Here is a 27,806-nt window from a genome sequence, read left to right as displayed (position 1 = left end):
TGACGAATGGGCGAGCGAGCTGTCAGTCTCGTTCCGAACTTGTTGGCTGCGGTGCCGGGAGCGCGGGCGCGCAGAGCCGAGGCCGGGACCCGCTGCCTTCACCGCCGCCGCCGTCGCCGCCGGGTGGGAGCCGGGCCGGGCAGCCGGAGCGCGGCCGCCAGCGAGCCGGAGCTGCCGCCGCCCCTGCACGCCCGCCGCCCAGGCCCGCGCGCCGCGGCGCTGCGCTCGACCCCGCCCGCGCCGCCGCCGCCGCCGCCTCTGCCGCTGCCGCTGCCTCTGCGGGCGCTCGGAGGGCGGGCGGGCGCTGGGAGGCCGGCGCGGCGGCTGGGAGCCGGGCGCGGGCGGCGGCGGCGGGGCCGGGCGGGCGGGTCGCGGGGGCAATGCGGGCGCAGGGCCGGGGGCGCCTTCCCCGGCGGCTGCTGCTGCTGCTGGCGCTCTGGGTGCAGGTGAGCGGGGCGGCGGGGGCGGCGGGGGTCGCGGACGGGGCACACCGGGCCGCCCCTAGGGGCCGGGCGGGCACTGCCTGGGGCCGCCGTGGTTCGGAAGCCCTCGAGGCTGCGCGCGGCGGCTGGGGCTCCGGGCGGGCGCGGCTGGGTGGGGGCGGGGCGGCGGGGCCTGTTCCCCCACCCCTGGCGCCCGGCCCGCCGACCCCGGCCCGCGCCTCCCTCCGCTCTCCCGCTGCCTTATTTTTAGGCGGCGCGGCCCATGGGCTATTTCGAGCTGCAGCTGAGCGCGCTGCGGAACGTGAACGGGGAGCTGCTGAGCGGCGCCTGCTGTGACGGCGACGGCCGGACAACGCGCGCGGGGGGCTGCGGCCACGACGAGTGCGACACGTACGTGCGCGTGTGCCTTAAGGAGTACCAGGCCAAGGTGACGCCCACGGGGCCCTGCAGCTACGGCCACGGCGCCACGCCCGTGCTGGGCGGCAACTCCTTCTACCTGCCGCCGGCGGGCGCTGCGGGGGACCGAGCGCGGGCGCGGGCCCGGGCCGGCGGCGACCAGGACCCGGGCCTCGTCGTCATCCCCTTCCAGTTCGCCTGGCCGGTACGTGCGCTCCATCCCTCGTGCTCCAGCCCTTCCCTCTCTCTCCGCGCCCCGGCCCCGCGCGCTTCGCGACCCCCAACACCTGCGGCCGGGTCTGCGTGCGAGCCGCGCGCGCCCAGGCGGGGCGGGGCCGGCAGGGGGCGCGTGCTCTGGGGACTTGGTCCGCGCCTGGCCACGTGGGCGCGCCGGGGCCCCGGGGCCACCGGGAGCGGGGTCGCGGCGGGGGCGGGGCGGCGGCGTCCCGCGTGCGCGGCGGTGTGCGGCGTGTGCCTGCGTCGCCCTGCGCGTGTCTGTCTGGGTGGGGAGGCGAGGCGAGGCGCCCCGGTCCCGGGCAGGCCGCGGTGGCATGTGCGCAGCGCGTGCTGGGGCTGGTCTAGGGCAGGCCCTGACTGAGCCGCCCCGGGCCCGTGGCCAGCCTGCGCCTGCCCTGCAGTTTCCTGGATGCCTGGGGGGCACGGGCGGGCGCCGTGGGACCTAGGCCCGGGAGAGCCTAACGCCTAACGCTTATGTCGGCAGAAGCCCCCGATGGTGACCCAAGATCGTTCAGAGACAGAGATAGTGGATCCTGGTGCAGTGACCTTCTGTGGCACTGCCCTGTTTGTGGGTTTTTTTGGTTTTGTTATTCTGGAGGGGCAGAAGCTGAGTCGGGGCTGTCTGGTCTCCCCTGGCAGGTGGCCAGTCAGGCAGGAGCCCTGGCCTGGGCGTGCTGGGAGGAGGGGTGGTAGGGGTCCAGTGTCACTGGGAAACAGGTACTCATCCCAGTGGGCTGGCAGGTGGGTAGTGGTAGGTGGGCAGGCCCAGGCCTCGGGCGCCTTACCTCATTGCCTGGAGCACGGCCTTGCCCTGGTGCCCAGAGGTCCTTCCCTGCTTGGTCATTGTGCTGGGGGCCTGGAACTGGGTGAGTGCGGGAATGAGAGCACCATGCAGACCTGTGATCAGGGAGTAGATGGATCTGGGAGCCAGGAAGTGGCTCCAGTCAGCAGGAGGCACCGGAGTGTGCCCACCTGGTATCCTGGGCCCTGAAGTGATTGTGAGTTGAGGGCAATCCCTGCCGAGCTCACGCCAGTTGGGCCTGCCGTGTGTGGCTCCCAGTCCTGTGCTGTACCTTTGCAGCCCTGGCTGGCAGCCTTGCCTGCTGCCCCCATCCTCACCGCTTCCTGAGCTCCCACCCGTGGAAGCTGGCCACAGTCTCCTCTGGCCATGTCCTCAACCCGTGAGCACCCCGCCGAGTATCCCTTGACCAGGGGGGCCCCAGAGAGGGGAAAGTGTCCCCCAGATGGAAAAGGCAGGGGCGGGCATGGGAGGGCCCAGGCAGTTGTGAGAAGCCCAGCCCCTCGCCCCCACGGCGGTGCAGCAGGCAGGTCTGAGCAGGGCCCGCAGCCTGTCATCTGCACCTGGGCCTGAGCCAGCGTGGCCCCACATCGCTACCTGAGGATGTGTTTTCTGCTCGAGTTGGCAGCAGTGGGTGTGGGGGCAGGGAGGTCTTGGAGGAATGTGGCGGGCTATCGCGTGTCCGCCCTGGCTCTTCGCCCCGCGGGCCAGCCGGTCAGGTGTGGGATGGGACCGGGTAGGCCCTTGCCTTCCTTGGAGTCCGGGCACTGGGTTTCGGGGCCAGCTCACCTCCCTGCCTCTTGCTTCCAGCCGGTTCCTCGAATGCCCCAGGAGGGGGCAGGCGGCCTGTCTCTGGGTTGGGGGCCAGGGCAGAGTCATAGCTGCGTGTTTGGGGGCAGCCCTGGTCTCCTGCCATGTGGCCTGGCTGCCGGGCGGGAGCTGTGCCGTGATGCCAGCACCCTGGTATTTGCACTCGGGCGGCGGCAGTCCCTGGCCATGCTGCCCTGGCTTGCTGAGGTCCAGCTCTGTGCGGTGAGCTGAGGTGTACTTGGCTGTGATGGGAAGGCAAGGACCGAGTTCAGGCTCCCTGGGACCTGAGGAGGGGTTTCAGCCTGGAGGCTAGGGTGGCATCCTGCCCAGGCCCGTGGGGCTTTTGGGCTCCTTGGAGTAAAGGGAATGAGAGGGCCTTGTGGAAGAGGAGTGGGGGAGTCTGGGCTCTGCATTCGCTCCCTCCACCCCCTGCCCCCTGAGTGACTCTCCCACCTTGTGGTCTCTGCTGTTGACCCAGGCCTGGCTGGGTGGCCCTCTGCCCCCTGGCCTGGCTTCTTGTGGCCGGGGTCTGTGTGCTATTAGTCATGGATCTGTGCTGGTCTCGGGCTCAGCTTCCCTCAGTGGGTGGGCCCAGGGTCTTGAATGTGGAGAGGTGGTGGACCACATGCCAGCAGGCTGCCTGGCTGCCCCTCCTCTCCTGGCTCCACCCCCAGACGTCCCCAGGAGGCCGGTGTCAGCCTGGGTTGGTTCTGGTGCCTGGCTTGTAGCTGGCAGGGTGAGGCCACATTCTCCCAGCTGCGTGTGTGCACGCACCCCGGGTGCTCTGTAGGCATGGCAGGTGGTGATGGAGGTTTGGGGAGGAGTAGTGTCATGCTGGGGGCAGCAGGGAGCTTTGCTCTGGGGCCTGGTAGGTGGCAGGCCCAGGGGACACCTGCTGGCTGAGGGAGGAGCAGGGTGGTGGCAGTTGGCCGTGACCTGGGCAGCCAGGGCCCCACCCTCAGAGGTGCAGCTGGAAGTCGTGCCTGCCTGGCTGGCCCATCTCTGGAGCCAGGAGCCCAGGAGCCTGCCTGCCAGCGAGGGTCTTTCTTGTTCTGTCTTGGCATGTGTGTGCTGGGCTCCAGGGCAGCTGTGCGGGGTGGTGTGGCTGGAGCATGGTCCCCGTGACAGATCTGGGCTTATGAGGAGAACGGGATGGGTGAAGGCCCTGTAGATACAGGAGGTGGGCCTGGGGCTGACCCTGCGTCTATCAGCTCAGGAGGCCTGAGGTCCTGGGCCATCAGAAGGGCTGAGCTTTTCTCACCTGTGAAAGGGGCACACTGCCGCTTTTTCATTGCAGGTCTCACGAAGTCAGATGGGGCTGCTGGACTCCCAGCTCGGGCTCTGCTTGTGCCCCCAGCCCGGCTCCCAGACCTGTCCAGTTCCTCCCCTTCCCAGCCTTCCCTACCCTCTCCTTTGCCCCCTAGGGAGGAAGGTTTTTACAGAGCCCACCCCCTGCATCCAGCCGCCCTAGGGCTCAAGGTGGGCCAGGCTGAGGTCTGTGCCTGGAGCTACCTAAGCTGCTCGTGGCAGGTGTGAGGTTCAGCACCACTCTGCTTCCTGTTTTTTCTGAGCTTGGGCTGGGGATGACAGGGCCCTGGCCTCCCCACCCTACCTTCAGGGGATCCTGTCTGCACACTGGGGACCACCCCCCTCCTTCCCACACCTTCCCAGTAGGGACCAGGAGAGCTGGCTGGTCTGGTATGGAATGTGGGCATCTGGGTTCCTGTGTTGGGTGGGCATCGGTCTGTTCCTCCTGCCATGGCCCTGGGGCCCAGAGCCCTGGGGAGAACTCAGGGCATGTCCGCCTTGTACATTGGGGGTCTGGTTCAAAGCTTTGGTATGGGGGCAGGGTGGGGCATTCAGTGCCCAGGCAACACGGGGACCATTGGAGCCAGGGAGGACTGCCCTTGGCCAGGGAGGATTGGAGAGTGGGCTGGGGGTTTGTCGCTGGTCCCTGAGGGTGGGCTGAAGGGTCAAAGCCGCAGCACGATAGGAAGGCTGGGAGGTGGAGGGGCGGGTTGGGGAGCAGGCGGCAGGCCTGGGTGGGAGGGGACTGCTGCTCTCAGGGGCCCTCCTGGGCTGCTCCATGGTGTCTTTATGAGGGGAGCAAGCTAGGCCAGTGAAGGGGTGCTTGTGGAGCCAGGCTTCGGCCTGAGCTGCTGCTGGTGGTGGAGTGGGGGCAGGAAGACAAGGATCTGCAATCCCAGGCCCCAGCCACAGTCGCTATCCCCAGACCCCAGGCCTGAGCGGGGTCCCTGTCCCCAGACCCTAGGCCTGATTGGAGTCCCTGTCCCTAGACCCCAGGCCTGAGTGGGGCCCCTATCCTCAGGCCCCAGGCCTGAGCTGGGTCCCTGTCCCCAGGTCCCAGGACTGAGCAGGGTCCCTGTCTGCAGACCTGAGGCCTAAGCAGGGTCCCTGTCCCCAGACCCCAGATCTGAGTGAGGTCACTGTCCCCAGACCACAGGCCTGAGCGGAGTCCCTGTCCTCAAGACCACAGGCCTGAGCGGAGGCCCTGTCCCCAGACCACAGGCCTGAGCGGAGTCCCTGTCCCCAGACCACAGGCCTGAGCGGGATTCCTATCCCCACATCCCAGGCCTGAGCAGGGTGTGGCTGGCATCAGTTGTACCCTGGGCTTTGTGGCAGGTGCTAGCCGGCCCTGGCTGCCACCGTCTTCACGGTGGGGGACCTGGGACCTAGAGGGGGTGTGCTGGGGAGTGGGGGTACACCCAGGCAAGGCCCTGGCTGGTCTCTGGTGTGGAGCATGGGTGTGTGTGTTCCTGCGTGGGATGGGCTTTGGTCTGCTCCTCCTGCTGCGGCCCTGGGGCCCAGAGCCCTGGGGATGGTGTTTGCCCCCACCCCTTCTTCCCTGCCTCGGGTGACAATGGTGGCAGAGGCCTGGGCCTCTCAGAAGCTCAGGTTTCAGGAAATGTATCTGTGCTTGGAGCTCCTGGCGCCTGCACCAAGCGCTGTGCTCCGTAGGGGGCGGGAGGCTGATGCGGGAGGCCGAGGAGAAGAAACCAAGTCGGGGCGTTGGTGGGGCAGCAGGTCTAGGAGGCTGTGTTGTGTTGGCCTGGACCGTGCAGGGCCCTGGACCTGGGGGGGCCGTTAGCGGGGCAGCAGGGAGGCTGTGTTGGCCTTGACCGTGCAGGGCCCTAGACTTGGGTTGCCTGAGTTTTGGGATGCTGTAGATTGGGGTACAGTGGGCAGTGGGGTGCCGTGGACTTAGGGTGCTTGGCATTTGGAGTACCCTGGGCCATGAGGTGTGCTGGGCCATGCAGTGCCCTGGGCTGGGGGTGCCCTGGACCTGGAGTGCCCTGAGCTTTGGGGTGCCCTGGACTGTGGGTACACTGGGCCATGGGGTGCACAAGGCTGTGGGGTGTACTGGATCTAGGGTGCCCTGGGCAGGAGGGTACTCTGTACTTTGGGTGCCTTGGACCTGAGGTGTCCTGGGCTTTAAGGTGCCCTGGACCTTGGGGTGTGCTGGGCCATGCAGTGCTTTGGGGCTCTGGGGTACCCTGGGCTTTGGGGTGCCCTGGAACTGGGGTGCCCTGGGTCTTGGAGTATGCTGGGCCATGCAGTGCCCTGGGCTGTGGGATACTCTGGGCTTTGGGGTGCCCTGGACCTGGGGTACCCTGGGCTTTGAGGTGCCCTGGCCTGGGGTGGAACATCTATTGTCTTGTCTGCCTGTCCTCTGGCTTGTGCCACTGCTGTTGCCCCTGCCTGGGGACAGGAGGAGGGGTTTAGACTTAGCCTTGAGGGTTCGGGCTGGGGAGGAGGCAATCAGATGGTGGGAGATGAAGTTGGGCTGCGGGTCTGCTTGTGCGGTGGGGGTGGGTCAGGCCGGGCTTGTAGGGAGAGGCTTAGCTGGGCCTGCAGGGGTGAAGCCCTTCCCCCTTGGCCTCCAGAGACTGGGCAGGGGCATAGCCCTGCTAGGCTGGCCTTGAGGGAGGGCCTGGGTTCCTCTCCCTGCTTGCCGGGGAACCTGGGCAGGTGATGGGTCTCTCACCTGTCCCCAGACCCCCAGCCCACACATCGCCTATTGCCCCTGCCAGCGCCAGGCCCACATCCCCACATGTCCCAGCCCCGTTCCTAGAAGGGCAACATGCCCGCCAACCCCCGCCCAATCCAGGCCCTATAGTCCCTCCTGTGTTCTAGGGGTTTGGTGTTGACAAAACCCTGTCCCAGATCGTGGCCCGCCAGGCAGGAAGGACAGGGGTGAGAGGTTGCTATTCGCAGAGGAGGCAACTGAGTCCTGGAAGGACAGGGGTGAGAGGTTGCTATTCGCAGAGGAGGCAACTGAGTCCTGGAAGGACAGGGATGAGAGGTTGCTATTCGCAGAGGAGGCAACTGAGTCCTGGAAGGACGGGGGTGAGAGGTTGTTATTCACAGAAGAGGCAAATAAGTCCTGGAGGCTGGCCCCTAGGGAAGAAGGGGAGCTGGGAGAGCTGGCAGGTGGGGTGAGGCAGGTACCGCCCCGTCAGCCAGCTCAGGTTCACTCTGGATGACTTCCTGCCATCCAGGTGTAGGGACCCCAGCTGGCGGGCGGTGAGGCCCTCTCGGCGGGCGGGCAGGCACACGTCCCTGCGGGAGCAGGTAACCGGAGCCCTGGGCTCAGGCGAAGGTGGCAGTAATCTTACCTGAGTGGCTGGCATGAGGTTTCCTGGGAGTCGAGAGGAACTCCCTGCTGGCCCTGAAGCCCAGGTGTGGCTGTGCCGGGAGACCGGGTGGCCTGGCTTTTCTCTGCCTGCCCCGTGGCCAGAGCTGCTCTCAGACCCATGCTGGCCCCATCCTCTGACCTCACTATTGCTGCTTCCTGGTCCTGCTGGTTCCTGTCCAGCGGCTACAGTGACTGTTAAAGCCTGGTGGGTCCCAGTCCTCACTCAGACCCCCAACAACAGACCTCACTCAGACCCCCAACAACAGACCTCACTCAGACCCCCAACAACAGACCTCACTCAGACCCCCAACAGACCTCACTCAGACCCCCAACAGACCTCACTCGGACCCCCAACACCCGAACAGACCTCACTCAGACCCGCAACAGTCACCCACTTCGCTTAGCCTCAGGAAGGAAGTCCGTGGTGGGGTCTGGATCTGTGGTATGACCCCACTGTCCCCGTGGGCTATGCGTTCTCAGCCCCTGGGCCTTCTTGTGGGCTCTGCCATGCAGCTCCTTCACTTCCTCATGCCCTGCAGCCTCAATCTCAATGCCACCTGTTCAAAGCCTGGCCTGGCCTTTTTTTTTTTTTTTTGAGATGGAGTTTTGCCCTCGTTGCCCAGGCTGGAGTGCAATGGTGCGATCTCGGCTCGCTGCAACCTCGGCCTCCTGGGTTCAGGTGATTCTCCTGCCTCAGCCTCCAGAGTAGCTGGGACTACAGACACCTGCCACCATGGCTGGCTAATTTTTATATTTTTAGTAGAGATGAGGATTAACCGTGTTGACCAGACTAGTCTCGAACTCCTGACCTCAGGTGATCTGCCTGCCTCAGCCTCTTAAAGTGTTGGGATTACAGGCGTGAGCCACTGTGACCCGTTGGCCTGGCCTTATTGGAACAACAGCCCCTGCCCCCTGTTGCTTTCCCCGAGCCCCGCTGGCTATAGGTTGCCGTCCTTGGTGGCAGAGGCATGCCTGCTGTACACTTGATGTGAACGAAGGAAGGAAGGAACGAAGGAAGGAGCCAAATGCCAGACGCCTGGGAAGCGGCTGGGTGCTCCAGGTGTTACCGGGGGTGGGGAAGGGCTTGGCCAGGTGCAGCTGCGAGGGTGGTGCTCCAGGCAGATGGGTTGATAGGCTGGGGTGGGTGGGTGGGGGTGGGCAGGAGCCTTGGGAACCCCAAGGGTGCTCTGAGCTGAGAGGGCGTGGACAGAGTCCTGGTGGGGGTGTGGATGGAGCCCTGGGGGGTGTGGATGGAGCTGACGGGGGTGGTTTGTGGACAGAGCCCTTGGGGGGTGTGGACACAGTCCTGGGGGTGGTGTGGACAGAGTCCTGGGGGGTGTGGATGGAGCCCTGGGGGGGTATGGATGGAGCATGTTGGGGGGTGTGGATGGAGCTCTGGGGGGGTATGGATGGAGCCCTGGGGGGGTGTGGATGGAGCATGTTGGGGGGGGTGGACAGAGCTCTGGGGGGGGTGTGGACGGAGCCCTGTTGGGGGGTGTGGATGGAGCATGTTGGGGTGTGTGGATGGAGCATGTTGGGGGGTGTGGATGGAACTCGGGGGGTGTGGATGGAGCTCTGGGGGGTATGGATGGAGCCCTGGGGGGTGTGGATGGAGCATGTTGGGGGGTGTGGACAGAGCTCTGGGGGGGGGTGTGGACGGAGCATGTTGGGGTGTGTGGATGGAACTCTGGGGGGGTGTGGATGGAGCCCTGGGGGGGTGTGGATGGAGCTCTGGGGGGGTGTGGATGGAGCATGTTGCGGGGTGTGGATGGAGCCCTGGGGAGGTGATGGAGCCTGTTGGGGGGTGTGGATGGAACCCCGTTGGGGGATGTGGATTGAGTTCTTTGGGGGTGTGGATGGAGCTCTGGGGGGTGTAAACAGAGCTCGGCGGGGGGTGTGGACGGAGCCTTGGGAGGCATGTGGATGGAACTCTGGGGATTGTCTGGCGCCTGTAGGCAGAGGTTTGCGGGCCCTGGTGACCTCAGGGAGCCCTGGAGATGGGCGGGGACTGGGCCCCGTGGCCTGGCGGGGCCATGGCGGATGTGGGAAAACGGGTTTAAGGGGAGCTTAAGAGGTGGGATTGAGGGTCTGTTGTCAGCTCGACGTGGCTAGGGAGGGTTCTAGGAGCGGGTTGGGGATGGCCCCCCACTTCCATCCTGTGCTCCTACCTGGGTGAGCCTCCTCGGGCCGTCCCCGGGTGTTCTGCAGGCAGGGGCTCGGGGGCGGGGCCGGGGTTGCCCAGCTGTGAGTGAGGCCCAGGGTCAGCAGTCATGTTGGGCCCTAGTTGTCTGTATTTGAGGGACAGTCGGAGGTGTGGGGCGGGGGACTGGGTGGGGGTCCTGGAGGCTGGGCTGGGTGTGGCTGGTAGCACGTTGGTTAGGGGAGGGGCTGGACGTGGGAGTGCAGTCTTCTGAGACATCTTGGGAGGCCAGGCCTGTCCTTAGCTGGATGAGGCCGAGGCACTGGGACGTGCGTGGGGTGGGCGGCGGGTGAGGACCAGGGAAGGGCTGGCAGGCGTGGGGTTGGGCCTTGCTGGGGAAGTGTGGTTTTCCCCAGCTTAGCCAGGCCTTGGGGCTGGTTGGATGGGGTGTGCTGAGGGATGGAGTGAGCCTGGCCTGCCTGGACACTGCCCAACGCAGCATCCCCCCGGGGTGGGAAGCCAGCAGGCCCTGAGGTGACTCAGCCCCAGCCCCCTCCTCTGGGCCCCACCTGGAAGGAGCCAGGGCTGGGCTCAGGGGTCAAGAGCACACCAGGGGTAGACTGGGGGGTTCCTGGGCAGTGAGGGCTGAGAGGCTGTGGAATGTGGGTACCCAGTGCTGGGTAGTACAGGGCATGTCCCGGGGGTCCCACCTGTCTGAGCATGTCTGTGAGTGACGGTCTCCGTGGGCTGCACTAGGCGGAGCAGGGGGCCAGCCCTGTGGTCTCTTTGCTTGGCTGACAGCATCGCCTGTCGCCATGGCTGGGGTACAAGGGCCAGGTGGCCCGGGGGCAGAGGGGGCATAGTGGCCATGGTCTGAGGCTGTGCTGGGCAGTCCCAGGACCTCTTGGCCTCAGTTTCCCCAACTGTACCGCAAGGGCCCCTCCTGCCACCTGTTCTGTGTGAGGGTGGAGGTAGGTGTGGGTTTGCCTGTGTGCTGTATGCCTGCAGGACCTGAGCTCCGGCCTGTTGGGGCCTCTGGCTGGGCGCCCTGTACTTGGCCACCCCGTGCACTTGGTGGAGGCCGCCAGCGTGGTGATGGGGCCCCACGTTCTCCCCCGTGGTCACCCCCAGTGAGGCACCAAGGGGCGTTCCACAGGAAACGCTCGGGTCCCGGCTGCCCATGGGGCCCCTGTCTGTGGCCACTCCAGCCAGGCTGCCCTTTGCCCACCTCTCCCCCCGGTCGCTCTTCCTGTGCTCCGTGCTGACTTGAGCCAGCTCAGGGCAGGCTGGGCCTCTGGCACCCCAACGGTAGGGAGCCCAGGCCCCTGAGCCCGCGTGGCCTGGAGGGGCAGTCTCCCTCCCTTGAGCTGGGTCATTTTTGGGTCTGCAGAGGATGTGGCCTGAGGATGAGGAGGGTGGTGGGTCCCTGGCTGGGGAGGAAGGGCCAGAGCCTGGCAGACCCAGGGGCAGCGTCTGAGCCCTGGGCCTTGTCCCACCCTGAACGAGGCAGGCAGGTGTGGCCTCAGGTACCTGACCCGCCTCCCCATGTCTGCAGCGCTCCTTTACCCTCATCGTGGAGGCCTGGGACTGGGACAACGATACCACCCCGAATGGTGAGTGAGCCCTGGGCCAGGTGGCAGCTCCTCTCAGCTTCAGCGTGCCTGTGGCAGGGCCCAGCTCCTCTGTCTGCTTGGGACAAAGCCTTGCTTTACCCTGAGGATCATGTGTGCTGTTTCCCTTTTTGCTTTGGCTGCCAGGAAGCTCTGCCACGTTTGGGACTTGCAGAGCTGTGCATGCACTCTCTTCCCCAGTCCTGGCTTTGCCTATGTTGTTCTCCTCTTGGGTGTGCTCTTTTGGGGCCCATGGCAGTGACTTAGTGGAGGGGACACCCTTGAGTGTGTCTCTGGCTTTGTGGCCCCCTCTGCTTGTCTGTACTGGAGCATGGAGCCTTGGTGGCCCTCTCCCTGAGGCAGGGGCTCTGCAGGGCCCTGCAGGGGTAACGGGATGACTTCCATGGGTGAATGCAGAAGCACCCACAGGCCAAGGGAGCAGCTCGTGTGAAGGTCTGGGCAGGAGCGGGCTGGCTGTGCAGGGGGAGCAGCCGGGGCTGGGCTCAGATCATGGAGGCTGGCAAGCCACTGAGAGGACACGGGCTCCGCCTGGCAAGCTGTGGCTGCCTTATGGAGGGTGGGCTGTGGGGCCAGGACACAGACCGAGGAGGAGCTGCCACGTGAATCTGGGCGTGTCAGGGTGACTTGGACCAGGGGCAGTCTGGGGGTGAGAGGGGCTCTCAGAAGTGGAGGCATGGGGTTGGCCAATGGGTTGGAGGAGGGAGAGCGGGGCCAGGGCATCCTGGCTGCCAGCAGAGTGGAGGGGCTGTTTTCAGGGCAGGGACGGCGGTGGGGGTGCCCAGGTGGGGAGCAGCAGTTGTGGGGACCCCAGCGGCTCAGGGCAGGGGTGTTTCCTGAGGGGGTGGCAGAGAGACAGGTGGGCTGAGTCCCAAGCAAGGTCGTCAGGGCTCTTGACAACGTGAGCCTGGAGAGGCTGGGGCGGCCGGGACGCCCCTTGGGGAGTGGGCCAGCACAGTGTCCTCCCAGGCCTTGGCCCGAGGCGGGAGAGGTGGGGTCTGGAGGACCCGTTCACCTTTTATTGTGCAAAACGTCGAGCCTGTGCCTAAGCGCAGGGACCGGCATCACGGACTTTGCATACCAGCGCCAGCAGCTGTGGTGCCCCTGGCCCCTGGTCTCCTGGTGGCTTACTTAAAGTGAGGCTTAGACAGCGGGTCACGGGACCTATGCCTGTCTTGGGGGCCTGAGGGGAGGCTTGTCTTAAGGTGGGGACGGTAGTGGTGTTTGGCACTTCTGGGAGCAAGTCACAGCGCAGGAGAGGGGAGGGCAACTGAGCACCATGTCCGTGCTGTCGAGGGCTGGACACGGCGCAGGTGGGTGCAGGTGTTGGAGCAGGGCTGCAGGTGGGTGGGCACAGGTGTGGGACGTGAGACTCACGCCCTGGCAGCAGCCGTGCCTTCTCTGTGGAGCCTGTGGTCTCAGCAGCCCTCCCTGCAGGGCCCCTAGCCCCTAGCCGGGCCCCCCGACCCTCTGCGTTTAGGGTGGGAGCGGGGCGCAGGCTTGGTGGCGGGAGGGAGAGGCCTCTCGGGGCCCTGAGCTTTCTGTAGCAGCCTGGCCGGGGGCCCTGCCCTCCGTGTGCTGCTGCCTGCTGTGCCCCGGCCTTGCAGCAGCCGCAGGCTTCTGCCCCGTCCCCGTTGTTCCTGGAGGACCCCTGGCCGGGCTGGTTTCTCTGGCCTGTGCTGACTCTGCCGCCTCCCCAAGAGGAGCTGCTGATCGAGCGAGTGTCGCATGCCGGCATGATCAACCCGGAGGACCGCTGGAAGAGCCTGCACTTCAGCGGCCACGTGGCGCACCTGGAGCTGCAGATCCGCGTGCGCTGCGACGAGAACTACTACAGCGCCACTTGCAACAAGTTCTGCCGGCCCCGCAACGACTTTTTCGGCCACTACACCTGCGACCAGTACGGCAACAAGGCCTGCATGGACGGCTGGATGGGCAAGGAGTGCAAGGAAGGTGAGGGGGCCGCTGGGCTGCGTGGAGGGCAGGGAGGGCCTCGGGCAGGGCCCCGGGCACAGGCCTTGCGGCCAGGCTGGCTGCAGCTGTGCCTCTCGCTCCTCTCTGTTCGCAGCTGTGTGTAAACAAGGGTGTAATTTGCTCCACGGGGGATGCACCGTGCCTGGGGAGTGCAGGTGAGTGTGCCGCCGGCCCGTCTTTGCCCTCCCAACCTTTGCCCTCACGTCCTCACTGGCACACACAGCCTTGCTGTCAGGAGTCGCCCGGAGCTGGCTGGAGGTTGGGCACACAGCTGTGAGAGCCGGGCCCTGAGCTCGGGAGGCTCCTTAGTGCAGTAGGTGCGTGTCTGAGCATGGGATGTGTCTGATGGCGGCAGCCATGTGAGGACAGTGAGGAGAGACTGGGGAGGCTGGCTGGACAGTCACGTCACCGAGGGGCAGAGACCCGGAGGCTGCAAGCCACCCAGAGATGGGGCATGGGCAGAGGACACGGTAACCCTGCCCATGGGGAGGGGGTGGGCGGCGAGCGGCCGGCAAGTGACACCAGCAGGCGAGGGGCGGCAGAGCAGACCAGTGGTGGGAGCTGAGGCCTGCAGGACCAGGGACAGAGGAAGGGGCTGCTGGCAGGTTTGTAGCTGGGCAAGGTGGGTGGAAGGGCTGTGGTAGCTGTTGAGTGGGGAAGCACCAGACGGGAGGCTGTGAGGGGGAGGCCGCTGTGGGGCATGTGGGGGTGGTGGGGGAGGGGCCAGCGGGATGGGGAGGGGGTCAGTGGAAGGGGGAGAGGCGCACGGGTCCTGCAGACATCCTGGGGTGGAGCCCAGGGGTTTGTGGATGGATTTGATCAAGCAGGAAGGGTGTGGAGTCAGGGAGAACCCCAAGCTGCTGAGTAGCAGAGCCATGGTGGCAGGAGGAATGCCACAGAGGAGCAGGCGGGGCCGGGGTTAGCTGGATGTGGAGAGGCGATGCCTGCCCTGTCCCTGGAGACACCCAGAAAGCTCGTGGGAGAGGCCTGGCCTGCGCCACGCGGGGCCTGTGGGGGGTGGCATTCAGGCGGTGACGGGAAAGTGGGGAAGGCAGAGAGGAGGGAGGCCAAGGAGCAAGTCCCGGCTGCCACAGGTCAGGGCGGATGGATGAGGAGTCAGCAAGGGCCTCCACAAGGGAGTGTCCGGGGTCTTACAGCCAAGTCCAGATGGTGGAGGCCTCTGGACCCAGACCAGAGTGTGGGGGATCCAGCCAGGGGGGCTGGCAGCTTTGCCCTAGAGTGGAGCAGAGAAGTCAGCAGGGCAACCAGAGGGGCTGGGGCCCAGGGTCTGGGGTGGGCACGGGCTTCGAGCCGTGGCGCTCACTGTGCGTGAGCAAGCTGGGGAGCCCGAGAGAGGGGCGCGAGCGGGTGGAGAGACAGCAGGTGGAGGTGAGCACCGCCCTCCAGCCAGCCTTGGATTGCAGGGGTCCCAGGACCTCCCTCTGTGGAGTGGGTTTGCCTCCATGGGACGAGGACACTGGGGCACAGAGAGCCTACTGATTTCCCCAGGGTCACACAGCGTGGCGTTTTGGAGAGGAGTCGGGGAGTTTGGGAACCAGCTGAGTTGGGAGCCAAGGTGGGGAGGTGGGTGACCCTTCCACAGGCCCCACGGTTGAGTGGCCTGGAGGGTACAGTGAGGAGCTTTCCCGGCCAGTCCCAGAGCGGGGAGGCAAGCAGGGCTGGGGCCGCCCACCCGGTCACTTGCACACACAGGGATTCCCGGCAGGTTGAGCGAGTCCCAAGTCAGCTCAGAAAGTGCAACAAGGTGGACCTGGTCTGGGCAGATGTAGATGTAGATCTACGGGAGTCGGCCCCACTCACCCTCGCCTGGCCCAGTGTGCATCACACAACCTGGATGGCAGTGCCACCCTCCCTGGATGGCTGCTGGCTGGCAGCTTGAATGTCACACCAAGGCTGGAGGAAGGCAGCAGAGAAGTTGGCCATCCCTGCCCTTTACCCGCAGGAAGATGAGCCGGAGTCTGGGGGGCCTGGTGGGTGGGGGCAGTAGGTGAGCTCCGCCTGCCCCTCTTGCTGGCCCTGTCGGGGAGGCCCAGCTGTTGCTGACAGCCTCGGCTCAGGTTCCAGTGCAGGACGCCCCCCCACCGGATGCTGCGGAGATGGCCATGCCTTCCTGCCGCCGCCTCTCCAGGGCCCTGGGGCTGCTGGCTGGGGAAACCAGGAGGTGGGGGCCTGGTGTGGGCTGCCCTGCCCAGGGTCGAGAGCACGCCCTTGGGACCCACGAGGTCTGGGCTCTGAGCCCGGCTGTGGCCGCTCTCTGGCCGATGACCCAAGGTGTGTCACAGCCCCGCCCTGAGCCTGGGTCTCTGTGTCTGTGGAGGAGGGATTCTAGGCGGGATGTGAGGCCACCCACGCGGACCACTGTGCATGCTGGGCTGGATACTGGAGACACGTTCTTCCCGGCCTCAGTTTCCCCATTTGTGGCAGCTGAACTGGGCTGATAGGCCTTCGGTGCTGGCTGTGTGGCTTGAGGGCGGCTCAGGAAGGGCCGTGGTTCTTTCCTTTTACAAAAATAAAGTGTGGCGGGTGCCGGTGTGGAAGTGACGTGGCCTGGATGACATTCCCGTCCTGCAGGACCGGAGAGTTCTAGGAAGGGCCCCCCGGGAGTCCCGGCAGGGCCTGGATGGCAGCCTGCTGAGCCTTGGGGTCGTTGCAGGCTCTCTCCCCTGACGGAGGCACCCTCAAGTCAGGCCATGTTCTACCCTGGCCACCTGCCCTCTCCTGGGGGACTCCCAAGACAGGACGTTGGCCGATAGCCTGGGGCAGGGCGAGTCCTGGTGGTTGTGTCCTGGGGGGTGCAGCTGGGGGTGCAGCTGGAGCTCCTGCAGAATCAGGAACTACCCTGGGCAGGGCTGGCCCAGGCCAGCCTGTGGGCCTCAGTAGCCCCATCTGTGAGATGGGTACCTTGTGGGACTTTACTGGGAGCGAGCGAAATGACTGCCTTTGAGGTGGGGGCGAGGGCACGTGCTGTGCCCAGGGCCACATGGCCGAGGCAGAGCCAGGAGTGCTCCCCTGCTGCCCGCTGGCCTACCCAGCCCCTGGTGCCTCCCGGCCCTGGCAGCACCTTGTGAGTCCGAGCCGGCATTCTCATCCCCGGGGTCCCGGCAGGGCCTTCCTTTCCTGGTGCCTGCTCTCGGGGCCCAGCTCACGGGTGAATCCCAAAATAGCTCAGGGAGGAGTGACGGGACAGCTGGGGCTGACCGTCGGCAGCCAGCGGCCGGGAATGCCCGTGACAGTGGGGCTGGCCGGCAGGGCTGCAACCCCTGCCTGGCTGGGGCTGCTCCAGTTCAAAGGCCTGAGGCCGCCCGCCGGCCCTGGGTGTGGCGTGGGTGACTGTGCCTGGCTCCCCTGCCACCCTTTCAGGCACCACAGCTCACTGGGTCTTGCGCCCCTCCTCCTTCCCCCAGGTGCAGCTACGGCTGGCAAGGGAGGTTCTGCGATGAGTGTGTCCCCTACCCCGGCTGCGTGCATGGCAGTTGTGTGGAGCCCTGGCAGTGCAACTGTGAGACCAACTGGGGCGGCCTGCTCTGTGACAAAGGTAGTGGTAGGGGGCGGCAGGCCTAATGCTCTGCCATCGAAGTGTGGGTTGTGGGGGAGCGGGGGGCCGGCTTTTCCCCTGAGCATCCCACCCCTGCCCCCAGACCTGAACTACTGTGGCAGCCACCACCCCTGCACCAACGGAGGCACGTGCATCAACGCCGAGCCTGACCAGTACCGCTGCACCTGCCCTGACGGCTACTCGGGCAGGAACTGTGAGAAGGGTACGTGGGGGGCTGGCCACCCAAATTCTGGCCAGGCAGGGACTGGTTCCCTGGGGAGCCGGTCAGGCCCCATCCCTCTGGCGTCCTGTGTGGTGGGCCCCTGACCCCCAGCTTGGGAACCTGTGGGCTTGGGGAGGAGTGCTTGTGGAAAGCTGGGGGCCTGGCTGCCAGCTCTGCCCCCTCCCCGCGGTTCTACAGCTGAGCACGCCTGCACCTCCAACCCGTGTGCCAACGGGGGCTCTTGCCATGAGGTGCCGTCCGGCTTCGAATGCCACTGCCCATCGGGCTGGAGCGGGCCCACCTGTGCCCTTGGTGAGTGTCTGCACGTGAGTAGGGGACTCCTGCCTAGTATCAGTGGGGGTCTGGGAGTGGGGCAACTCGCTGGGGATGGGGTGCAGTGGTCAAGTCCACACGTGTGGCTGCGGCTGGCTTGGCGAGGACAAATGGCAGGAAGACCCAGGCTTGCAGCGCCACCTGCCCATGGGGACCTTATTCCCACGGCTCACACTGCCAGGGCCCCACCTTTCTCCACCCTCTGCAGACATCGATGAGTGTGCTTCGAACCCGTGTGCGGCCGGTGGCACCTGTGTGGACCAGGTGGACGGCTTTGAGTGCATCTGCCCCGAGCAGTGGGTGGGGGCCACCTGCCAGCTGGGTAAGGGCTCCGAGCGAGTGCATGGGAACGTGGGCCGCGCATGCGGGCTGCGGGGGCTGCTGGGGCTGCGGGGGCTGCTGGGGCTGCTGGGGCTGCTGGGCTGCGGGTGCCAGGTGCCCGTGCTGCAGGGGGCAGGCAGGGCCCGAGCCCCACGGCTCCCACCTTGTCTCTTTCACAGACGCCAATGAGTGTGAAGGGAAGCCATGCCTTAACGCTTTTTCTTGCAAAAACCTGATTGGCGGCTATTACTGTGATTGCATCCCGGGCTGGAAGGGCATCAACTGCCATATCAGTCAGTATGGGGGGTGGGCGCCGGCGGGTGGGCCGAGGCACATGGGACCCCGCCTCTGACCCTGCTCCTCTGCCCCCAGACGTCAACGACTGTCGCGGGCAGTGTCAGCATGGGGGCACCTGCAAGGTGAGGCGGGGCCAGGAGGGTGTGTGGCGTGGGTGCTGCGGGGCCGTCAGGGTGCCTGCGGGACGCTCACCTGGCTGGCCCGCCCAGGACCTGGTGAACGGGTACCAGTGTGTGTGCCCACGGGGCTTCGGAGGCCGGCATTGCGAGCTGGAACGAGACGAGTGTGCCAGCAGCCCCTGCCACAGCGGCGGCCTCTGCGAGGACCTGGCCGACGGCTTCCACTGCCACTGCCCCCAGGGCTTCTCCGGGCCTCTCTGTGAGGTGAGGTCTGCCTGGTCACCCTGCCCCACCTGCTGCTCTGGGAGCTGTAGGGCAGGCCTCGTCCCCTGACCATGGGGCCTGAGTGACCCAGGGGTGCTGCAGGGGAAGTTGTCCCCAAGGCGTCCCAGGCTCAGCTCTCCACTGGGTGCCAGGTGGGCAGGCGGGGCTGTCACAGGTCACCAGGCTTGGCCCCCTGTGGCCATTGCTTGTTGTGATGGGTTTCCTGGTGGCCTGGGCTAGGAGCCCCCGGGCTGCTGGCTGCCCAGGCCTATCTGTCCATCTGTGCACTCCCTCGGGACTGGAGGGCAGGGGGCTCTGGTGGGCAGAGCACATGGGGTAGGGTGGGTGCCTGATGGTGGAGAGGTATACACCTGTCATAGGTGAGTCCTGGGTCGGAGTGGGCATCTCTCTCAGGGCTGATGCTCTCGCCTCCCTCTGACCATCTGTTGGTACTGGACCCCCTCCCCCAACCTCCCCTTCCCCCCTGCCTCCAAAGTAACCTGCCTTCCCCCTTCCCCACCACCCCTACCACCCCCTTCCCCACCTCCCCCTTCCCCACCTCCCCCAACCCTGCCTCCCCCCACCCACCTCACTATCACCCCTCCCCTACCTCCCCCAACCCTGCCTCCCCCCACCCACCTCCCTACCACCCCCTTCCCCACCTCCCCCAACCCTGCCTCCCCCCACCCACCTCCCTACCACCCCCTTCCCCACCTCCCCCAACCCTGCCTCCCCATTACCTGCCTCCCTACCACCCCCTCCCCTTACTTCCCCTTTTTCCCTGCCTCCCCCCACCCACCTCCCTACCACCCTCGGCCGCCCACGATCCTGCCCTGGCCTTGGTGCAGAGGATGGGCCTCCTGTCCAGAGGGCTTCTTGGGGCCCAGGGCAGGGGTCTGACCTCAGGACCTGCAAGCATGGCAGTGGCTGGCCCTGGAAAAGACCCACAGTCTTGGCTCTGAGGGTGGCCAGGCAGTGTGTGAGGGGCTCAGGAGCTGTCCTTCCTGCCAGCAGCAGGGGCCAAGGCCACACTCCTCCCGAGGGACAGTGAGGAAGCTGGGCTGCAGTGGAGGTGGGGGTGGGGGCCCACAGGTATCTGCGTTCAGCTAAGGCCTGGGCAGTCTCAGGTGGGCAGGGGTCTTGGGCTCTGGCTGGCACTGTTAGGCCCAGGGCGGAGGGGCCTGGGGGTCCCCAGGGATCTACCTTCGTATGGACAGAGGCCTGGCCTGTGTTCCCGGCCTGGGCCTGGGCCTAGGCTCTCACAGGCACCCCCCACCCTGCAGGTGGATGTCGACCTTTGTGAGCCAAGCCCCTGCCGGAACGGCGCTCGCTGCTATAACCTGGAGGGTGACTATTACTGCGCCTGCCCTGATGACTTTGGTGGCAAGAACTGCTCCGTGCCCCGCGAGCCGTGCCCTGGCGGGGCCTGCAGAGGTGCTGGGTGCGGCATGGGGTGGTGGGGGAGGTGGTGGGGCAGGGGCGGGCCTGACTCCTGACTGTACTGCCTGCCATAGTGATCGATGGCTGCGGGTCAGACGCGGGGCCTGGGATGCCTGGCACAGCAGCCTCCGGCGTGTGTGGCCCCCATGGACGCTGCGTCAGCCAGCCAGGGGGCAACTTTTCCTGCATCTGTGACAGTGGCTTTACTGGCACCTACTGCCATGAGAGTGAGTGGCCACGAACGGCGGGCTGGTGGTGGGGCTGGGCTGGCCTGAGGCCCTGGCTCACCCCGCTCGCCTCTGCAGACATTGACGACTGCCTGGGCCAGCCCTGCCGCAATGGGGGCACATGCATCGATGAGGTGGACGCCTTCCGCTGCTTCTGCCCCAGCGGCTGGGAGGGCGAGCTCTGCGACACCAGTGAGTGTTCCAGCACCCGCCCACACGGCCTGTGCCTCCACCCCTGTGGGCCCCTTATCACCCTGAGATGGACCGCTGTCTGGGTGCGGCAGGCCCCGTACCCAGAAAGGCCTGGCCAGGGGGTGCTGCCACCATGGGGTGGAGTCCCAGGCTGCCCCCATGCCCGAGGCCAGCTCCCCCGGCCCGACGCTCCTCCCCCGCCCCTCTCTGTCCTCACCTGGCCCAGCTCCAGTGCTTCCTCCCCCGGGAAGCCCTCCCTGAGCGCCGGTGACCCCCCGCCCGCTGACCGGCGTCCTCGCCCCCAGATCCCAACGACTGCCTTCCCGATCCCTGCCACAGCCGCGGCCGCTGCTACGACCTGGTCAATGACTTCTACTGTGCGTGCGACGACGGCTGGAAGGGCAAGACCTGCCACTCACGTGAGTGTCCGCAGGCCCTGGCCGCCTGGGGCTGCCCCCAGGACCCTGGCCCTGGCGGTCTGGGGCCTGCCTGCTGAGCGGCCCATGTGCCAACAGGCGAGTTCCAGTGCGATGCCTACACCTGCAGCAACGGTGGCACCTGCTACGACAGCGGCGACACCTTCCGCTGCGCCTGCCCCCCCGGCTGGAAGGGCAGCACCTGCGCCGTCGGTGAGGAGCCCCCGCTGCCTCTGCGACCGCCGGGCATATGCCCTCCCAGGCACCGCTCCCTCGGGCGCGATGGGCCGAGGGGTCTTTTTTGAGGGCCACACCTGCCACCTGCCCCCTGCCCCCTGCCCCCGGGTCTGTCTGCCCTGTCTGGGTTGGGGGCGCGGTATGGAGACCCAGGGCCAGCCCAGGGCCAGGTGAGACGCTCCCTCCTCCTCCTCTCCTTACAGCCAAGAACAGCAGCTGCCTGCCCAACCCCTGTGTGAATGGTGGCACCTGCGTGGGCAGCGGGGCCTCCTTCTCCTGCATCTGCCGGGACGGCTGGGAGGGTCGTACTTGCACTCACAGTGAGTGTGGGAGGGGTGTGGGCGGGGGCCGCTTTCCTCCACCCAGATGACATCCCTGCCCCCGACTCGCCCCCCAGTCCCTTCTGCCAGCCCCTCCCCCTGCTGCCCCTGCCCCCAGCAAAAGGCACCCTCCTTGATGACCCTCCCCAGCCCCACAGCCTGATCACGCCAAGCCAGCCTGGACAGTGCCTGGCACGCTTGGGGGGTGGGTACTGATCCCCTGCGTTCTCTTCTCCCAAACCAGATACCAACGACTGCAACCCTCTGCCTTGGTGAGTGGCACCCTGGGGGCCACAGCAGGGGTGGGTGGGACTTGGCATACCACGGGGGGCCACCTGATGCCCACCCTCTGCTCTGCAGCTACAATGGTGGCATCTGTGTTGACGGCGTCAACTGGTTCCGCTGCGAGTGTGCACCTGGCTTCGCGGGGCCTGACTGCCGCATCAGTGAGTGGCCAGACAGCCCCAGCCCTGGGAGCCCCTCAGCCCAGCCGCGGTGTCAGGAGTCTGGGGACATCAACGTCCACGTCCCTTGAAGGGCAGTGTGGCCACAACTACTTCCTGCCTCTCTTCTGAGCCTCAGTTTCCCCACATGTCTGTGCCCTGTGGGGTTCCTGCTGTATACCCTGCCAAGTGATTAAGTGGGGAGCCCCAGCCTGGGGGACCAGTCCGGGGCCCAGGGAGCTGTGGGGGTTGGAGCGTGCAGCCTGACGTGGGCTCCTCTGTGGCCGCAGGGCTGTTGTCCCTGGGTGTTGGCCCAGCTGTCTGTCCAGCACCCCTTGGCTGGTCCGACGCAGCAGCTGGGGCTAATCCAGGATGGGACAGGCCCACTGCAGAAGCAGACGGAGGAGGGTGCTGTTGGGCCAGGGTCAGGCTGGGCTCAGGAAGGCCTCAGGCAGGCAGCAGCTTGGGCTCGGGGGCAGGGGCTGCTCCTCATTGTCCTGGGGCTTGCGCCTGTGTGCCACTGGCTCCCCGCTGCCCTAGGCCATGCCGGTCCTGCGGTGGGCGTTGGCCTCACTGCACTGAGCAGCGGTGGCTCTCCCTGCAGACATCGACGAGTGCCAGTCCTCGCCCTGTGCCTACGGGGCCACGTGTGTGGATGAGATCAACGGGTATCGCTGTAGCTGCCCACCCGGCCGAGCCGGCCCCCGGTGCCAGGAAGGTAGGCCCCGTGTGATTGCCCTGGGTTGGGGCGGGTTGGGGGGCATGGGTGACACCCAGCCCCGAGGGCCAGATGCCCACTGCTGACCCTCGAGCCCCTTCTCCCCACAGTGATCGGGTTCGGGAGATCCTGCTGGTCCCGGGGCACTCCGTTCCCACACGGAAGCTCCTGGGTGGAAGACTGCAACAGCTGCCGCTGCCTGGATGGCCGCCGTGACTGCAGCAAGGTGAGGGCAGCCCGTGAGCCGCCCTGCCCTACCCGAGGCTGGTGCACGCTGACCCTGGCCACTCTGTGAGATCAGGAGGCGGGTGCTGGGGTCCGGATGGACTGAGAGCCGTCTGCCCTCAGGGACACCCAGGGAGGCGAGAGCTCAGCCAGGCCCCATGCTTCGATGTGCAGTTGGGAAAACAGGCCTGGTCTGGGTCCTGCCTTGCTCCGCCTGCCCTTTCTGATGTCGAGCTTGGCCTGCCTCCCTGGGAGCCCTGGGTAGGGGGTGGGCTGGGCCCTGGGGCTCACAGACTTGGGCGGTGTCCCTCCTTGGCATGGGGCCCGTGCCTGCCTGTGGGTTCTCATCTGTGTGCCTGCATCTGACCCTCCTGTGCGCCTGCGCCTGACCCTCCTGTGCGTGCCTGCCCAGGTGTGGTGCGGATGGAAGCCTTGTCTGCTGGCCGGCCAGCCCGAGGCCCTGAGCGCCCAGTGCCCACTGGGGCAAAGGTGCCTGGAGAAGGCCCCAGGCCAGTGTCTGCGACCACCCTGTGAGGCCTGGGGGGAGTGCGGCGCAGAAGAGCCACCGAGCACCCCCTGCCTGCCACGCTCCGGCCACCTGGACAATAACTGTGCCCGCCTCACCTTGCATTTCAACCGTGACCACGTGCCCCAGGTGAGGGGCCTGGTGGCATCTGAGCTTGCAGAGGCCACACGCCGGCATCTGCTCGTGGCATGGCGAAAGCCTAGCCCCGCAGGGCAGGGAGGCCCTGGTTGGCTGAGCAGAGTCACTCTTGGTCACAGAGAGTGGCCCTGTGGGGTCAGATGAGAGGGGCATTGGGCCTGGTGCTGGGTGGAGGTGGCAGAGGAGGCTGGGAGAGCAGCCAGCTGGGGGTGCCTGTTTGTCCAGCTGCCCTGAGGGCCTGGACTGACGGCGCCATGGCTGCCTGGCCCCAGCTCTTGGGCTGTAGCTCCGTGGGCAGTTTTGCCCTGGCCTAGGAGCCACCTTTGCCTGCTGTGTGCTTGGAGCTGGGCCCCTGTCTCCCAGGAGGGGCTCAGAACTGGAGGAGACCCACTGTACCCCGCCCTGCCTCTCCTTCCCCCACTGGCCTGCAGGTGGAGCTGGGTCCGCCCTGAGGATGGGCGGGTGGGCACCGTCACTCCTGCCTCCTGGTATAGGGCACAGCCGGGTGGGAAGCTGCCCCCCCAGGCCCTTGGCATCCTTGCTGTGCTCTCCTGGGCGGGCTGTAGGGTGTGTCCCACGTGTACCCACAGCGCCAGTCCAGGGATGTAGGTGTCAGGTTCACGGCCCTGCCCTGCCCACGCACTGCCTGTCTCTGCCCAGGGCACCACGGTGGGCGCCATTTGCTCCGGGATCCGCTCCCTGCCAGCCACAAGGGCTGTGGCACGGGACCGCCTGCTGGTGTTGCTTTGCGACCGGGCGTCCTCGGGGGCCAGTGCTGTGGAGGTGGCCGTGGTGAGTGCCCAGTGGGGAGCAGCACCTGGGTGGGCCCTGGGTCCCGTACTATGCAGGTCCTGGCTATGCTGGACAGAGGCTCTGGCGAGGCTAGTCCTGGTGCGGAAGGACTGCGGGCAGGCCTGTCTCCCTGCGGCCCCTCGCTGTCCATGCCGCAGACCCGTGGAACTGCTCCCTGGGCCTGGCCAGCATGAGGGAGATGCAGGGCTGTGGTGTGGAGCCCGCTTCCCCTGCAGCTGCATCCTCGCCCGGTCCCCTGCTCTGTTTTTGTCTCTGTGTCCCTACGTCACAGGCAGCAGGAGAGTCCGTGGGCTTAGTCTGCCCTGGGAGGCCTGCTTTGGGACTGGCACCTGCCCTGGACCTGGGGGGTGTCAGATGTGAATGGATACCAAGGGGGTCGGGTGAGACTGGGGTGGAGACATGCCCGGAGAGGGGAGGGAATGTTCTGGAACATGGTGGGTGGGTGTGCAGAGCAGTGGGTGTGGCCATGGCACAGTGTGGCTGGTGGAGGCCATGGCCAGGCACAGGAAGGACGTGCAGTGTTTTGGTGCCCTGAGGCCGCAGAGGGGGTGGGGGACATGGATGGGTGCTGCTGGGTGATGGAAGGGCAGTAGGGGCAGGGGAAGATGTAAGAAGTGTGCCAGCACAGGTCAGGGCGCCATCAGGGATGTGGTGGAGGCAGGGGCACAGCCCCGGGTTGCTGTGGCCTCGTGAAGGCACTAGGTTTGTGGTGCCCCTGGGGTGTGGCCCATAGGTGGGGGTGGGGGCTGGGAACTGACAAGAAGGGATGGCCATCACGGAGCAGGTGTCAGCGAATGGGGCCACACACCTCCCCAACTCACTGCCTGGTGGCGAGGTCCCCACCGCAGGACCCCGGGCTCTCCTGTGTGCCCGGACGGGGACACCCTCCACCCCTCCACTTCCCCCCACCCCTCACTGCCTGCTGGTGAGGTCCCCACCGCAGGACCCTGGGCTGTCCCGTGCGCCCGGATGGGGACATCCTCCACCCCTCCCCTTCCCCCCACTGCTCGCTGCCTGGTGGTGAGGTCCCCACACCTCAGGACCCTGGGCTCTCCTGTGTGCCCGGATGGGGACAGCCTCCACCCCTCCACTCCTCCCCCCGCTACTCCCCACTCACTGCCTGGTGGTGAAGTCGCCACTGCAGGACCCCGGGCTCTCGTCTCCCGTGCGCCCACCTTGCTCCAGTGTGGCCAGGGCCTCAGTGTTGGGGGCAGGCTGCTGGGAGCCTGGAGCCCTCGAGCCATCCCCACAATGCCGTTCTTTGCCGCAGTCCTTCAGCCCTGCCAGGGACCTGCCTGACAGCAGCCTGATCCAGGGCGCGGCCCACGCCATCGTGGCCGCCATCACCCAGCGGGGGAACAGCTCACTGCTCCTGGCTGTCACCGAGGTCAAGGTGGAGACGGTTGTTACGGGCGGCTCTTCCACAGGTAAGCGCGGGAGGTGGGCCCCTGGGAAGGCACCAGGCAGGCAACTCAGGCATTGGGCACAGAGCCGGCCGATCCTGCCGATCCTGCCAGCCACCAGGAACACAGAAGTCCCTGGCACCTGCTGCCCCAGCCGCCCAGCCCCACAACCTGACCTTCCCAGCCCCCGTCCTGGGACCCTCCCCACGAGCCAGCAACCGGAGGGTGGGGCCCGGCCGCCTGGCCCGCAGGGCCCTCCCAGGCCTGGGTGTGTGGCTAGTGCCCCGCAGGTGCCCAGGCCTCATTGCCCACCGGCTCTTCTCCCCGGTCCCCAGGTCTGCTGGTGCCTGTGCTGTGTGGTGCCTTCAGCGTGCTGTGGCTGGCGTGCGTGGTCCTGTGCGTGTGGTGGACACGCAAGCGCAGGAAAGAGCGGGAGAGGAGCCGGCTGCCGCGGGAGGAGAGCGCCAACAACCAGTGGGCCCCGCTCAACCCCATCCGCAACCCCATTGAGCGGCCGGGGGGCCACAAGGACGTGCTCTACCAGTGCAAGAACTTCACGCCGCCGCCGCGCAGGGCGGACGAGGCGCTGCCCGGGCCGGCCGGCCACGCGGCCGTCAGGGAGGATGAGGAGGACGAGGATCTGGGCCGCGGTGAGGAGGACTCCCTGGAGGCGGAGAAGTTCCTCTCACACAAATTCACCAAAGATCCTGGCCGCTCGCCGGGGAGGCCGGCCCACTGGGCCTCAGGCCCCAAAGTGGACAACCGCGCGGTCAGGAGCATCAATGAGGCCCGCTACGCCGGCAAGGAGTAGGGGCGGCTGCCAGCTGGGCCGGGACCCAGGGCCCTCGGTGGGAGCCATGCCGTCTGCCGGACCCGGAGGCCGAGGCCATGTGCATAGTTTCTTTATTTTGTGTAAAAAAACCACCAAAAACAAAAACCAAATGTTTATTTTCTACGTTTCTTTAACCTTGTATAAATTATTCAGTAACTGTCAGGCTGAAAACAATGGAGTATTCTCGGATAGTTGCTATTTTTGTAAAGTTTCCGTGCGTGGCACTCGCTGTATGAAAGGAGAGAGCAAAGGGTGTCTGCGTCGTCACCAAATCGTAGCGTTTGTTACCAGAGGTTGTGCACTGTTTACAGAATCTTCCTTTTATTCCTCACTCGGGTTTCTCTGTGGCTCCAGGCCAAAGTGCCGGTGAGACCCATGGCTGTGTTGGTGTGGCCCATGGCTGTTGGTGGGACCCGTGGCTGATGGTGTGGCCTGTGGCTGTCGGTGGGACTCGTGGCTGTCAATGGGACCTGTGGCTGTCGGTGGGACCTACGGTGGTCGGTGGGACCCTGGTTATTGATGTGGCCCTGGCTGCCGGCACGGCCCGTGGCTGTTGACGCACCTGTGGTTGTTAGTGGGGCCTGAGGTCATCGGCGTGGCCCAAGGCTGGCAGGTCAACCTCGCGCTTGCTGGCCAGTCCACCCTGCCTGCCGTCTGTGCTTCCTCCTGCCCAGAACGCCCGCTCCAGCGATCTCTCCACTGTGCTTTCAGAAGTGCCCTTCCTGCTGCGCAGTTCTCCCATCCTGGGACGGCGGCAGTATTGAAGCTCGTGACAAGTGCCTTCACACAGACCCCTCGCAACTGTCCACGCGTGCCGTGGCACCAGGCGCTGCCCACCTGCCGGCCCCGGCCGCCCCTCCTCGTGAAAGTGCATTTTTGTAAATGTGTACATATTAAAGGAAGCACTCTGTATATTTGATTGAATAATGCCACCATTCCGGCCTCCCTTGTTCTTTCGGTGCTGTCCCTTTTGTATTGAGAGTGAGGTTGGGGGAGAGCCACGCCGGCAGAGAGGCTTGGGGCAGTGGGGCGCGTGCTGGGTATTGGCCCACGTGGCTGTGGTGGCTGTAGAGGGCGAGACGGTTCTGTTGAGTCGGGGCCTGCCAGGGCCTCGAATGCGTTGGCATGCCAAGGTGGTGGATGCAGGTTTGGCCAAAACCTTCCTGGGAATGGGGAGGGGGGTGTCTAGGTGCCTGGCACCCGACCCTGACTAAAACAGCTGAAAACAGTTTTATAAAATAGTATAAAATTGCTTACCCACGAATACGTATCAAGGTCTTAAGGAATTAACAGGTCAAAATTTTTATTCATTCATTTATTCCTTTGTTTTGCTTGGTCATTCAGAGGCAAGGTCAGCATTTGATGGAGGCAGGAGAGAAGCAGCCCTTCCACCTGGCCCTGGAGCTGGTTTTGCCCCTCACTGCTTGAGCCAACTGGAACGTGGCATGGTGGCCTCAGGGCTGGGCATGGAAGGCCGACTCCAAGGCTGACTCCGAGCCGCCTGTCAGTGATGTGCAAGTCTTTACCCTGCTGTGAGGGGTAGGAGGTCAACTGAGTCAAGGAGCAAAGCCAAGAACCAGATCTGTACAAAAGAGAAAAAAAAAGTCCTGCTGACAGCCTGGGAGTGAGGCTGCCTTGCACAGGCAGAACAAATGAATAAATGAATGAACGAATAAAAA

The 27,806-nt window shown here is 65.9% G+C and overlaps 1 protein-coding gene and 1 non-coding gene across 6 annotated transcripts, besides 3 other annotated features; both read left to right on the top strand.

The window, feature by feature from the left end:
- Positions 1-24: 24 nt before the first annotated feature.
- Positions 25-27,806, top strand: JAG2 (jagged canonical Notch ligand 2). 5 transcript variants are annotated; one of them, NM_002226.5, is made up of 26 exons: positions 25-446; positions 694-1,044; positions 11,038-11,095; positions 12,812-13,063; positions 13,179-13,239; positions 16,510-16,640; positions 16,744-16,863; positions 17,062-17,175; positions 17,405-17,518; positions 17,697-17,810; positions 17,890-17,936; positions 18,024-18,197; positions 19,481-19,631; positions 19,712-19,864; positions 19,943-20,056; positions 20,362-20,475; positions 20,572-20,685; positions 20,913-21,029; positions 21,274-21,301; positions 21,390-21,475; positions 22,077-22,190; positions 22,301-22,416; positions 22,828-23,070; positions 23,740-23,871; positions 25,163-25,319; positions 25,631-27,806. In NM_002226.5, the coding sequence occupies exons 1-26, from the start codon at positions 381-383 to the stop codon at positions 26,104-26,106; spliced, it is 3,717 nt and encodes a 1,238-aa protein (NP_002217.3). In that variant the 5' UTR covers positions 25-380; the 3' UTR covers positions 26,107-27,806. The 5 variants fall into 5 exon arrangements, with proteins under 5 accessions (NP_002217.3, NP_660142.1, XP_047287310.1 ...); NM_145159.3 differs by lacking the exon at positions 17,697-17,810; XM_047431352.1 differs by lacking the exons at positions 25-446; positions 694-1,044 and adding an exon at positions 1,280-1,644.
- Positions 804-1,303: an enhancer, noted in NCBI's record as "H3K4me1 hESC enhancer chr14:105633835-105634334 (GRCh37/hg19 assembly coordinates)". NCBI's record gives its function as "activates a minimal SCP1, AML or CMV promoter by ChIP-STARR-seq in naive H9 embryonic stem cells {active_cell/tissue: H9 hESC(naive)}" and the evidence as "EXISTENCE:reporter gene assay evidence [ECO:0000049][PMID:30033119]".
- Positions 4,842-5,589: an enhancer, noted in NCBI's record as "H3K4me1 hESC enhancer chr14:105629549-105630296 (GRCh37/hg19 assembly coordinates)". NCBI's record gives its function as "activates a minimal SCP1, AML or CMV promoter by ChIP-STARR-seq in primed H9 embryonic stem cells {active_cell/tissue: H9 hESC(primed)}" and the evidence as "EXISTENCE:reporter gene assay evidence [ECO:0000049][PMID:30033119]".
- Positions 13,212-13,810: an enhancer, noted in NCBI's record as "H3K4me1 hESC enhancer chr14:105621328-105621926 (GRCh37/hg19 assembly coordinates)". NCBI's record gives its function as "activates a minimal SCP1, AML or CMV promoter by ChIP-STARR-seq in naive H9 embryonic stem cells {active_cell/tissue: H9 hESC(naive)}" and the evidence as "EXISTENCE:reporter gene assay evidence [ECO:0000049][PMID:30033119]".
- Positions 17,937-18,023, top strand: MIR6765 (microRNA 6765). Its single transcript, NR_106823.1, has one exon. It is a non-coding gene; the product is annotated as a microRNA 6765 (primary transcript).

This window comes from Homo sapiens, chromosome 14 (assembly GCF_000001405.40).
Source record: "Homo sapiens chromosome 14, GRCh38.p14 Primary Assembly".
NCBI classification, from domain to species: Eukaryota; Metazoa; Chordata; class Mammalia; order Primates; family Hominidae; genus Homo; species Homo sapiens.
Note: the sequence above shows the minus strand (reverse complement) of the source record. Positions and strands in the feature narration are given on the sequence as shown.

Bases quoted from the DNA above. Each gene is read 5' to 3' on its own strand.
- JAG2 (NM_002226.5), top strand. From the start codon at position 381: ATGCGGGCGCAGGGCCGGGGGCGCCTTCCCCGGCGGCTGCTGCTGCTG. The intron at 1,045-11,037 runs GTACGTGCGCTC...CCATGTCTGCAG, and splicing joins CCTTCCAGTTCGCCTGGCCG to CGCTCCTTTACCCTCATCGT. The intron at 21,030-21,273 runs GTGAGTGTGGGA...CTCCCAAACCAG, and splicing joins GGGTCGTACTTGCACTCACA to ATACCAACGACTGCAACCCT.